The following is an 11708-nucleotide window of genomic DNA, read 5'->3' as shown; positions in this document are numbered from 1 at the left end:
TTTAGGGCTGCTGGGAATGCTGCCATGTTTGTGCGGGGCACGCGCTGAGGCTTCGTTCTAGCTCCATCCTCCTTCGCCCCCACCGCGTGGAAGACTCAGAAAGGGCATAGTTAGCCCTTCTAGGGGCCTGATGGGTTAGACGGAATTATTGTCAAAAGCTAAATAAATTGAAAGCGGCTCAGTCAGCCGCCATCTTTGAGCGGGGCGTCCAGGTCCGCCTCTTGTCTCAAAGGGAGGGGCAGGAGACCTGGTTGCTATGCAACGCGTACGCTGCCCTTGTTTTCGTTTTTGTGTTTTGTTTTTTGTTTGTTTGTTTTTTCGAAACGGGAGTCTCGCCCTGTCGCCCAGGCTGGAGTGCAGTGGCGCGATCTCGGCTCACTACAACCTCCGCTTCCCGGGTTCAAGCGATTCTCCTGCCTCAGCCTCCCGAGTAGCTGGGATTACAGGTGCCCGCAACCACGCCCCGCTAATTTTTGTATTTTTAGTAGAGAAAGAGTTTCACCCTGTGGGCCAGGCTGTTCTCGAACTCCTGACCTCAAGTGATTCGCCCGCCTTGGCTTCCCAAAGTGCTGAGATTACAGGCGTGAGCCACCGCGCCGGGCCCGCTGCCCTTGTTTTGTAACCGTTAGATTAAGTTTCTGGTTCTGTTCTTTCGGGCGTGGGGACTAGGGGAGGGACGCGAGAAGGATCCAATCACATCGGCGGAAACGAGGTTACTAGGCGACGCTTTAAGGTCGTCCTCAACTTGGAAGGGAGGGCAGTTGTTTTCCCCCCCGAAAAGAAGCCGAACACCAAACCAAGTGCGGGTTGCTAAGCAACACCTGAGCGTTGTTTTCTGGGAGAGGAGCCAGAAACTGGCTTAGAACGTAAATACATTCCAGGTGGATTAAAAATGTAAGTGCAACAAATGAAACCCGAAAACTATCTGAAGGGAAAAAATCTTAATGACTGCCATGGAGTTTCTTAGCACTACAGCAAAGTTAGAAAACGTAGTCTTCATTAATTTTTCCCAAAAGACTGTATAAACCAAGTTGAAAAATATACGGCCAACTGGGAAAATCTTTCTAGCGTGTTTGTTGACAGAAATGTACTACGCAAATAAATCTTACTGATGAATAACAATATAGAAAAATAGAAACACTTCATTACTATTATCTTTTAATTTTAATTTTTATTTTTTGAGGCAGGGTCTCTTTCTGTTGTGCAGGTTGAAGTGCAGTGGCCCAATCTTGGCTCACGGCAGCCTCTACTCGCACTGGAGCCACTCTTCAGCCTGTGGAGCAGCTGGGACCACAGCCGCGCACTACCACTTCCAGCTAATTTTTAAATTTTTTGTAGAGATGGGGTCTCACTGTGTTGCTCTGGCGTGTCTCAAACTCCTCGGCTAAAGCGATCCCAGGTGTTAGCCATCGTGCCCTGCCACTTTATATTTGTTTTAATAGAAAGAAACCTGACCAGGGCCGGACGCCGTGGCTCACGCTTGTAATCCCAGCACTTTGGGAGGCCAAGGCGGGCAGATCACCCGAGGTAAGGGGTTCAAGACCAGCCTGGCCAACATGGTGAAACTCCTTCTAACTACTAAAAATAAAAAAATTAGCCGTCCTGGTGGGCGTCTGTAATCCCAGCTACTTGGGAGGCTGAGTCAGGAGATTCTCCTGAACCCGGGAGGCGGAGGTTGCAGTCAACTGAGATTGTGCCACTGCATTCCAGCCTGGGCGGCAGAGTTAGACTCCGTCTCAAAAAAAATAAAAATAAATAAATAAAAAGAAACCTGACTAGTTTCACACAAACACACACACAAAATTTTGAATGGCCAGTAAATATTTTAAAACATAATCTTCGGCCGGGCGAGATGGCTCATGCCTGTAATTCCAGCACTTTGGGAGGTAGAGGCGGGCGCATCACGAGGTCAGTATCACTGGGCGTCGTGGTGCCCACCTGTAATCCCAGCAACTCGAGAGGCTGAGGCAAGGAGAATCGCTTGAACCCGGGAGGCAGAGGTTGCAGTGAGCCGAGATCACGCCACTGCACTCCAGCCTGGGCGACAGAGCGAGACTGTCTCAAAAAAAAAACAAAAAAAACAAAAAAAACAGGCCGGGCGCAGTGGCTCATGCTTGCAATCCCAGCACTTTGGGAGGCCAAGGCGGGCAGATCACGAGGTCAGGAGATCGAGACCATCCTTGCTAACACGGTGAAACCCCGTCTCTACTGAAAATCCAAAAAAAAAAAAAAAAAAATTAGCGGGGCGTGGTGGCGGGCGCCTGTAGTCCCAGCTACTCCGGAGGCTGAGGCAGGAGAATGGCGTGAACCCGGAAGGCGGAGCTTGCAGTGAACAGAGATCGCGCCACTGCACTCCAGCCTGGGGGACGGAGCGAGGCGCTGTCTCAAAAAAAAAAAAGTAATAATAATAATAATAATCACCAATTGAAAAGTACTTACAGAAAGCCTAATGATAAAGGTTTTTACCTTTATCATTTAAAATTATTTTTTATTGGGTTTCTATTTTTCTTTTATCTTTTATTTTTATTTTTATTTTTTTTTATTTTATTATTTTTTTTTTGACAAAATCTCGCTCTGTCGCCCAGACTGGAGTGCAGTGGCGCAGTGTCGGCTCGCTGCAGCCTCTGCCTCCCTGGTTCCACCGATTCTCCTGCCTCTGCCTCCCCAGTAGCTGGGACTACAGGTGTGTGCCACCTCGCAGGCAAATTTTTGTATTTTTGTTAGAGACAGGGTTTTACCATGTTGGCCAGGCTGGTCTCAAACTCCTGACCTCAGGTGATCCACCCGTTTTGGCCTCCTAGAGTGCCCGGATTATAGGCAGTGAGCCTGCGGAAGCCCTTTTTTTTTTGAGACAGTCTCATTTGCTGAAGCTTTTTTTTTTTTTTTTTTTTTGAGATGGAGTTTTGTTCTTGTTGCCCAGGCTGCAGTGCAATGGCACAGTCTCGGCTCACGGCAGCCTCCACCTCCTGGGTTCAAGCGATTATCCTGCCTCAGCCTCCCGAGTAGCTGAGTTTACAGGCATGCGCCACCACGCCCAGCTAATTTTGTATTTTTAGTAGAGCCGGGGTTTCTCCATGTTGGTCAGGCTGGTCTCGAACTCCAGACCTCAGGTGACCCGCCCACCTTGGCCTCCCAAAGTGCTGGGATTACAGGCGTAAGCCGCCGCGCCTGGCCTGCTGAAGCCTTCAAATCCATACAATCATATGATTTTACTCCTGTGTGCTTGGCAGGCATCTTTCCAATTTTATGAACACTTTCTTACATTACTAGTATGCCATTGTTACCTGTAACAAAATTAACTTCTTAGTATCATCCAACAGTAAGTGTGTAATCAAACGTTCCAATTGTCTCAAAATGTGTTTTTACAGTTGGTTTATTTGTATCAGGATCCAAACAAAGACCACACACATATTTAGACATTATGTCTCAAGTTTCTTTTCATCTAGAGCAGCCCCCTCTTTTATGCCTGTGTAACTAACATTTTAATAAAGTTGTAAGGAAGATAAAAGTAATCCAGAGAAAGGAAAAAAAATATCAATAGGCAAGAAGGAAGATTAAAATGGTACCTAGGCCAGGCATGGTGGCTCCTGCCTGTAGTCCCAGCACTTTGAGAGGCTGAGGTGGGTGGATCATTTGAGCCAAAGAGTTTGAGACCAGCTTGGGCAACATGGCGACACCCTGTCTCCACAAAAACTACAAAAATTAGCTGGACGTGGTGGGGGCACACCTGTAATCCCAGCTACTCAGGAGGCTGAGGCAGGAGAATCGCTTGAATCCTGGAGGCGGAGGTTGCAGTTAGCCGAGATGGTTCCACTGCACTCCACCTTGGGCGACAGAACGAGACCCTGTCCCCTCTCCCAAAAAAAAAAAAAAGAGAAAAAGATGTACTTTAGGAAGTAGGAAAATTAAAAATTATGCTAGAAAGATGGGCTGATCTGCAAGAAGGAAGAGGAAGGGAAAAATGAATCATAAATACTTTTGTCATTACAAGTAAATGCTGCCTGTGTAAAATAATAAAAATATTCATAAGGGCATTTTAAAAAGTCAGTAAAATGCTGTCCCAGCACTAGTTGGCTAGTCTGGAGGAGTTCAACAACCTAATGTACATCAATACAGAATTGGTCAAATCAATTTGTCACATCCATAAAATAGATTATAAAAATACATTATTAAGATGAAATAGACATACTTTTTCATGGCAAAAAAGAAAGTGTGGAAATGTTAGTATATTGATCATCTTTGTGAAAACGTATGAATAGTCTACGTTAAACTGTATTTTAGGAAAAAAATTGGGGAAGGGATTTTTCACATTTTACATGGTATGCTATCATGTATAAATTCATTACAGAAATGATATTATTTTTATTATTCTGGAAAATAAAGGATTTCCTTGTTTTCTTTTTTCTAATAACAAAAACAACCTTTTTTTTAGTGGTTACTAGGCAACGATCGCTGGACTCAACCACCCTCGAAGGTTGTAGGGGAGATGGTGTTTTTCTCGATTTCGCCCCAAGGAGGGTGCTCGGACTTCGACGTGCCGCCATCTTTGAGCAGGGCACAGCTGTTTACAGCCTTGGAATGGATATCAGGCTGAATGGTGGTTGCTTGGCAACGCCCCGCCACGGTCGCCATCTTTGAGTAGGGCACATTGTTTACTACTATATACTGGAAACCTACAGGGAATGTGGTTGCTAGGCAATGCTTTGGGACCATCGCAATCTTTGATCCGGGCACAGCTGTTTTTTCCGTTTAGAATGTAAATCATCAAAGCCTACAGGATGGTGGCTAGGCAACGCCTTGGCGCAGTCATCATCTTCAATCCGGCTTCTTGGTTCTCTTTACCTCCTCGGAGAAACTAGAAAGCTTTGCAAATTCAATTTGCCGCCATCTTTGTTAGGGGTACCGTGACTTCCGGCTAGGGCGGAAGAGAACCTAATGGGTTTGGGGGAGGTGCCTGAATAGGGTTTGAGGGTCTGTTTGAGTTGGGTGAAGAAGGCGGGAAGTTAATCCTCTTCCAATCAGCTCCCCATCTCGCCCTCTGGCGGCTCCGGACCACAGGCCGAGTTACTCTGATTACCGCCATGCTCCAAGACCCGCACTGACAGTCCCCACGTGAGGGACCGCGGTGGGAGTCCTAAATGGGGGAGGAGGGGACGGGCGGCACTGTGCATCTGCTGTGCCTCGCGGCCTCCAGCGGGGTCCCCCTATTCTGCAGGAGCAGTCGCGGCGGCGCCCCCGCCCGTCAGCAGGTGGGGCCTTGGACGCCTGTATCTAAACCGAAGGGGGTTCGGTGTTTTGACTCTGGGTCTTCAAGGCAGTAGGGGCTGGGGAAGTTTCAGTGTTGAATTTGTAGGACCGAGGAGGCAATGGACCAATAAGCCTGGTTCCCCAAAGAGGCACTGCCAGGTCATATGGAAAGAGGATGGGGCTGGGAGCTGGCACACTTGGGTCCTAAGGGGGAAGGGGATGGGGGGGTGCTCTTGTCTGATGTCCCTAACCCCTCCTTAGCTCCCGTTCTCTGTCATCGGTTCCCTCAATGGAGTCCACATGTTTGGGCAGAATCTGGAGGTGCAGCTGAGCTCTGCGAGGACCGAGAACACGACTGTGGTGTGGAAAAGCTTCCATGACAGGTCCCCAGGAGGGAACGTGGGACAGGGACAGGGCCTGGGTGATAGTCCCTGTTGAAGATGACCCCGGAGGCCTTCCAGCTCTCTAAAAGCAGCTGTTAATTTGGCTATGGGATCTTTAGCAAGCCAGTTACCCTCTTTGATCCCTGATGTTCTCTATAAGAAAGGCAGGTTGGTCTGAGAGAGGATGTATCTGGTGTTCTAGGATCAATGGGCGGACTCCAACATACCCCTTCCTGATTCCCCAGGCCTTGACTCATTCTTCTCACTTCCATTCCACAGCATCACCCTCATTGTTCTGTCATCTGAGGTGGGCATCTCTGAGCTGAGGCTGGAGAGACTACTCCAAATGGTGTTTGGAGCCATGGTGAGACTCACCAGTCCTCTTTTCTCCCCAGACCAGGAATCTGAGATCTCAGCATCCTTTTCCCTCAGACCTAGGAGTGCAGACCACCAACACTTCCTTCCTCAGAACCCAGGAATCTTTTGTTTGTTTGTTTGTTTTGTTTTGAGACGGAGTCTCGCTCTGTTGCCCAGGCTGGAGTGCAGTGGCTTGATCTCGGCTCACTGCAACCTCTGCCTCCCAGGTTCAAGCGATTCTCGTGCCTCAGCTTCCCAAGTAGCTGGGATTACAGGCACGTGCCACCATGCCCAGCTAATTTTTGTATTTTTTGTAGAGACGGGGTTTCACCATATTGGCCAGGCTGGTCTCAAACTCCTGACCTCAAGTGATCCACCCACCTTGGCCTCCCAAAGTGCTGGAATTACAGGCATGAGCCTCCGCGCCCGGCCAGAACCCAGGAATCTTGACTCCCCAGTCCCCAGACCCAGAAGTGGGAGTCCCAGCCCCCTCTTCCTTCAGACCCAGGAGTTCAAGTCCCAGCCCCTCGCCCATCCTCTCCTATATGATTCTTCTAGGTCCTTCTTGTGGGACTTGAAGAACTGACCAATATCCGCAACGTGGAGAGACTGAAGAAGGACTTGAGGGTGAGGTTGCAGGACATGAGGGTGGGAAGTTAGGATACCTGGGCACTGCCATTTGGGAACTACAGTTCCCAGCAGCCCCTGGGGCAGCCTGGTCCCACAGGTTCTTGGTTGTCTGACCCTGGGCCCACTTGAATCCTAGGCTGGTCCCTTCTTCCTCTCCTAGGCCAGTTATTGCCTCATCGACAGCTTCCTGGGGGACTCGGAGCTCATCGGGGACCTGACCCAGTGTGTGGACTGCGTGATTCCTCCAGAGGGGTCCCTCTTGCAGGTACTGGGGATGCTATGGAAACTCTTACACCTGTTCTGCTGGCCCTGGCTCAGTCCTCATCCTCTTTCTTCTGGACCATTGTCCCAACCTCCTCCTATCCTCTCAGCTTCCAGTCCTATCCCCACCTGGTCCCAGAAGAATCTTTTTTCTTTTTTTTTTTTCTTTTCTTTCTCTTTCTTTTCTTTTTTCTTTTCTTTCTCTCTTTTTATTTGAGACGTAGTTTCACTCTTGTTGCCCAGGCTGGAGTACAATGGCACCATCTCGGCTCACTGCAGCCTGCGCCTCCCGGGTTCAAGTAATTCTCCTGCCTCAGCTTCCCGAGCAGCTGGGATTACAGGCGCCCACCACTACGCCCGGCTAATTTTTTGTATTTTTAGTAGAGACAGGGTTTCACCATGTTGGCCAAGCTGGTCTCGAACTTCTTACCTCAGGTGATCCACCTGCCTTGGCCTCCCACAGTGCTGGGATGACAGGCGTGAGCCACTGCGCCTGGGCCATCTTTCTTTCTTTTCTGAGACAGGGTCTTGCTCTGTCATCCAGGCTAGAGCACAGTGGCTCAGTCATAGCTCACTGCAGCCTTGAACTCCTGGATTCAAGTGATCCTCTCATCTCAGCCTCCCCAGTAGCTGACACTATAGGCACTGTGCCACCACATTCAGCTATTTTTTTTTTTTTTTTTTTTTTGAGACAGAGTCTTACACTGTCACAGGGGCTGGAGTGCAATGGCGCAATCTTGGCTCACTGCAACCTCTGCCTCCTGGGTTCAAACGATTCCCCTGCCTCAACCTCCCGAGTAGCTAGGATTATAAGCGCTGGTCACCACGCCTGGCCCAGCTAATTTTTTGTATTTTTAGTAGAGACAGGGTTTCACTATGTTGGCCAGGCTGGTCTTGAACGCCTGACCTCGTGATCCACCCGCCTCAGCCTCCCAAAGTGCTGGGATTACAGGCATGAGCCACCGCGCCCGGCTGACATTCAGCTATTTTTTTTTTTAAGAGATGGACTAGGGTTGGGGATGGGTTTCCATTAAGTTGCCCGGGCTGGTCTCGAACTCCTGGGCTCAAGCAGTCCTCCCGCCTCAGCCTCCCATAGTGCTGGGATGACAGGTGTGAGCCATCACACCCGGCCACCAGAAGAACCCTACTATATCCAGAGCTGGCTCTGCCCCTTTCCTGCTCACAGCCCTCCGGCAGCCTCCACCTCCCCCAGGACAAGGTCCCAGCTCCTCAGCCTGGTGTTTGAAGGCCTGTGGCACCTGGCACCCCCTAACCTGTTGCTAAATCCACAGTCTACTTCCACCCAGCTACCTCACAGTCCTGAGATCCCAACAAGTTTCCAACCTCAGTGCATGTTCTTCCTCCTGCCTCTCAGATCTCTAGCTACCTCTACTTAAATACTGCTCTTGTGGACTTGCCTGGTGTGGCGGCCTCCCAGGCATGTGACTCTCAGCAGGTGACTTGGCTTCTCTACGTTGCTAATGGTGCCTACTCGGCATGTAACAGGCCTGGATGAACGGTAGCTGCTGCGGTTACATTATTAGCTTCAGTTTGCCCGCCCAGGCTAGATGTTTAATCAGATTTCACAGACTTCACAGTGTGAGTTGGGGATGTGACTTCGTATGAAAGTGAAGGAACTCAGGCTCAGAGAGGGTGAGACGTAGGAGCATGGCCACTGCGCGAGCTCGGGGCTGGCTGTGGGTTTCTCCCCATTCCCTGCCCATCTGGGAAGTCGCTGCCACCCCCTACGCTTGTCTGCTGACTCCCAGTCCTCCTGCCTCCCGTACCCAGGAAGCCCTCTCCGGGTTCGCTGAGGCCGCGGGCACGACCTTCGTCAGTCTGGTGGTGTCCGGCCGGGTGGTGGCAGCAACAGAGGGTTGGTGGCGGCTGGGGACGCCCGAGGCCGTGCTGCTCCCCTGGCTGGTGGGGTCCCTGCCGCCGCAGACCGCTCGCGACTACCCGGTGTACCTGCCGCACGGGAGCCCCACGGTGAGTGGGTGGCGGGCACCGACGGAGGGATGTGACCTGGGGGCCGAGTCGCGAGGAGGCGGGATCTGCGATGGAAAGGGGCCGGGCCGCGATGAGCCCCAGCCTGTGCCCTGCTTCAGGTCCCACACCGGCTCCTGACCCTGACTCTGCTGCCGAGCCTGGAGCTGTGTCTACTCTGCGGGCCGAGCCCACCCCTCAGCCAGTTGTATCCACAGGTGAACCCGCGCCACGTCCCGCTTTCGCTCTTAGGACACCCGCTACCAGGAGGGCCCTTCCCCACCACCCTGCCCTGCCAGCGGCATCTTTCCCCAGCCCCGCCTCTTCTGGACTGCGCTCCAGTCATTCACCTACCCGCCAAGATCGGCCGCTCCCGCCTCTGCCTCTATTCTTCCAGGCCTCGCCCCTTCCCCAGTCCCTTCTGCCCTCCGCCCTCCACTCTTCTTGCAGGCCCCGCCCCTCCCGATTGACCACGCCCCTATCCTTGTACACCCCCCGACCTCCCCCGCCGGCCCCGCCTTCCCATGACGACCTCACAATGACCACGCCCCCTGCAGCTTCTGGAGCGCTGGTGGCAGCCACTGCTGGACCCGTTGCGGGCCTGTCTGCCGTTGGGACCCCGGGCGCTGCCCAGTGGCTTCCCCCTTCACACAGACATCCTCGGGTAGGGCTCGGATGGAGGGAGTGGGTCGGGGGTCATGTCCTCTTCCCCAGCCATGACATTCCCTTCCCTTTCCCACAGGCTGCTGCTCCTCCACCTGGAACTGAAGCGCTGCCTCTTCACCGTGGAGCCCTTGGGGGATAAAGGTGACTGAGGACAGGGGCAGGGGCAGGGGTAGGAGGGGCGTGGGCCGGGGAGGCGCTCTGCATCACCGCCTTTTCCTCCCAGCAGAGCCTTCACCAGAACAGCGCCGGCGCCTCCTCCGAAACTTCTATACCCTGGTCACCTCCACGCACTTCCCACCAGGTCAGCGGAAGGCACAGTGCTCCCACTGCGCAGGCGGGGACACTGAGTCCCAGGTCGCACAAAATGGGAGTAGGAGGTGGGGTTGGAGGATCCGGAGGAACCCAGTATGCACTGGGCCATAGGGCAGTGGTTTTCCTTGAGATCTGAGCATTGATGCAGATGGGAAGGGAGGGGAAGGGAGGTCCCCGCCTGGCTTCAGAATCTCCTGGATCATAGTCAACAATAGTTAACACTGAGACCTCACCTCTTCCCAGTGCCTTTACACGTAATGAAAGAATGAAATCACTTCATCCTCACAGGTGAGGACTATCCCATTACCTCATCATTCCCATATTACAGATGAGGAAACTGAGGCTCAGCTCATGAGTGGCAGAGCCATATTTGAACACAGGGGATCTTGCTCCCATATCCACACAGTCCAGCGCTCTGCACAACTGCCAAAAGCACAGGCTTTGCTGATAGGCTGAGGGTATGGAGGAGGATTTCACAAGATTCTGGGTTAGAACGGAAAAATTGTCGTAGAACCCTTAAGGGCCCAGAAAGACAAAGAAAGGGACCTGGGATGGCGCTGTGACCCCAGTGAAGCCCGGATGAATGCAGCACAGTGGTCAAGAGCTCCAACTCGGGGGCTGCACCCCTTCTTAGCTGTGCGACTCCACCTCCCACTGGCCCCTGCCTGTTTCCCTCCACCCGCCTTGTACAGTGGGGCGGGTGGGCTCCTGGAAAAGGCTACAGGAGCTCCTGTGTTGCTGCCGTGTTCGCCATGTGTATTGCTAAGAGGATCACCTGCAGCTGCACAGTTTCTCCAGGAAAATGGGGGCCAAGGCTGAGAAAGAGGAAGAGGGTGAGCTGAGTGACATCATTGTGGTCTTCAAGTTGCTGACAGCCAGCTAGAGCCCCGAGGCCCTCCCCTGGCAGGAGGCTCCCAAAACCTGTGTTCAGAGACCCCACGCGTTCAGAACTTGGGATCAGGATGTGGTGTGGCTTGCAAAGGTTAGCATGCTACTTGTCATGTCAGTGCCCCCTGTTCTTTCTCCAGAGCCAGGGCCACCAGAGAAGACAGAAGATGAGGTCTACCAGGCCCAGCTGCCCAGAGCTTGCTACCTGGTGTTGGGGACTGAGGAACCAGGCACAGGAGTGCGTCTGGTGGCCTTGCAGCTGGGGCTTCGGCGGCTGCTGCTGCTGCTGTCTCCCCAGAGTCCCACCCATGGGCTGCGAAGCCTGGCCACCCACACTCTGCATGCCCTCACCCCACTTCTTTGACTACCTAGCAGTGGGTGATGGACACAGACATGGGGCTGTTAGCGTCTCTCTGTTTATTCGCTCACAATAATACACAGCCCCTGGATGGGGAGGGGGTAGGAGGGGCTACAACAGGGTGGGGTGGGAGGGGAGGAGACATCCACTTCCCTGGCCCCTCTCCCCTCTGTGCTTGGGGGGGAAAGGGAGGGAGGGGGACTCCCCCTAACCCCCCAGAATGTAAACAGCAGCAGATGAACAAAAATAAAAATACAAAAGGCCGGAGGAAAGTCCCAGGCATCCCCCAAACCCTGGTGTCTTCTCTGTCACCAGTGGAGGTCCCCCATCCACCAAAACTGCCTCAGTCCAAGGGGCTGCCCAGTGCCGGCCACATCCCCCGGGGCAGAGTCCAGGGCTCAGAACTGCTGTGCCAGCAGCTCACACAGGTGACGGGAGACGGGCTCCTTGCTGGTGCGCAGGGTCAGCCGGTACATCTGGGTGGGGGCATTGGGGGCAGAACTCAGAGGAGATGGGGAGCCCAGGGAAGTCGGGACCCAAGGGAGATAGAAGGAAGGAAGGATAAAGGGGCCAGAAAGGTGATACAAGACACAGGAGAGAAAAATGTAAGACTGAAATCA

General features: G+C 52.7%; 2 protein-coding genes and 1 long non-coding RNA gene across 22 annotated transcripts in view, besides 6 other annotated features; 1 reads left to right on the top strand and 2 right to left on the bottom strand.

Moving 5' to 3' along the window:
* Positions 38-397: an enhancer, noted in NCBI's record as "active region_14958". NCBI's record gives its function as "activates an Ori minimal core promoter by ATAC-STARR-seq in GM12878 lymphoblastoid cells {active_cell/tissue: GM12878}" and the evidence as "EXISTENCE:reporter gene assay evidence [ECO:0000049][PMID:35858748]".
* Positions 4276-5082: an enhancer, noted in NCBI's record as "OCT4-NANOG-H3K27ac-H3K4me1 hESC enhancer chr19:50316420-50317226 (GRCh37/hg19 assembly coordinates)". NCBI's record gives its function as "activates a minimal SCP1, AML or CMV promoter by ChIP-STARR-seq in naive and primed H9 embryonic stem cells {active_cell/tissue: H9 hESC(naive and primed)}" and the evidence as "EXISTENCE:reporter gene assay evidence [ECO:0000049][PMID:30033119]".
* Positions 4390-4439: an enhancer, noted in NCBI's record as "active region_14957". NCBI's record gives its function as "activates an Ori minimal core promoter by ATAC-STARR-seq in GM12878 lymphoblastoid cells {active_cell/tissue: GM12878}" and the evidence as "EXISTENCE:reporter gene assay evidence [ECO:0000049][PMID:35858748]".
* Positions 4650-4889: an enhancer, noted in NCBI's record as "active region_14956". NCBI's record gives its function as "activates an Ori minimal core promoter by ATAC-STARR-seq in GM12878 lymphoblastoid cells {active_cell/tissue: GM12878}" and the evidence as "EXISTENCE:reporter gene assay evidence [ECO:0000049][PMID:35858748]".
* Positions 4692-11379, top strand: FUZ (fuzzy planar cell polarity protein). Of its 17 annotated transcripts, XR_007067015.1 has the most exons (13): positions 4953-5249; positions 5509-5630; positions 5910-5994; positions 6546-6614; positions 6778-6882; positions 8670-8867; positions 8987-9082; positions 9422-9528; positions 9607-9671; positions 9754-9831; positions 10086-10130; positions 10535-10675; positions 10871-11379. XR_007067015.1 is itself a non-coding variant. In XM_047439462.1 (12 exons), the coding sequence occupies exons 1-11, from the start codon at positions 5139-5141 to the stop codon at positions 10109-10111; spliced, it is 1059 nt and encodes a 352-aa protein (XP_047295418.1). In that variant the 5' UTR covers positions 4953-5138; the 3' UTR covers positions 10112-10130; positions 10850-11379. The 17 variants fall into 17 exon arrangements, 13 of the variants coding, with proteins under 13 accessions (XP_011525643.1, XP_047295418.1, XP_011525645.1 ...); XM_047439462.1 differs by lacking the exon at positions 10535-10675 and having other exon boundaries at positions 9757-9831; positions 10850-11379; XM_011527343.2 differs by lacking the exon at positions 10535-10675.
* On the bottom strand, positions 8419-9325 carry LOC105372435 (uncharacterized). The gene is made up of 2 exons (NR_187900.1): positions 9219-9325; positions 8419-8932 (listed from the first exon to the last, which is right to left on the bottom strand). It is a non-coding gene; the product is annotated as an uncharacterized LOC105372435 (long non-coding RNA).
* Positions 8749-8918: a silencer, noted in NCBI's record as "silent region_10936". NCBI's record gives its function as "represses an Ori minimal core promoter by ATAC-STARR-seq in GM12878 lymphoblastoid cells {active_cell/tissue: GM12878}" and the evidence as "EXISTENCE:reporter gene assay evidence [ECO:0000049][PMID:35858748]".
* Positions 9099-9198: an enhancer, noted in NCBI's record as "active region_14955". NCBI's record gives its function as "activates an Ori minimal core promoter by ATAC-STARR-seq in GM12878 lymphoblastoid cells {active_cell/tissue: GM12878}" and the evidence as "EXISTENCE:reporter gene assay evidence [ECO:0000049][PMID:35858748]".
* The window catches only part of AP2A1 (adaptor related protein complex 2 subunit alpha 1), a 40114-nt gene continuing 39536 nt past the window's right edge, over positions 11131-11708 (bottom strand). For all 4 annotated transcript variants that reach the window (NM_014203.3, NM_130787.3, XM_011526556.3 and 1 more), the window contains one exon: positions 11131-11564. In NM_014203.3, coding sequence (NP_055018.2) covers positions 11487-11564 — 78 coding nt within the window. In that variant the 3' untranslated portion in view covers positions 11131-11486. The remainder of the gene's footprint in view (positions 11565-11708) is intronic.

This window comes from Homo sapiens, chromosome 19 (genome assembly GCF_000001405.40).
Source record: "Homo sapiens chromosome 19, GRCh38.p14 Primary Assembly".
In the NCBI taxonomy this organism is placed as follows: domain Eukaryota; kingdom Metazoa; phylum Chordata; class Mammalia; order Primates; family Hominidae; genus Homo; species Homo sapiens.
This window is presented reverse-complemented; position numbering and strand designations above follow the sequence as displayed.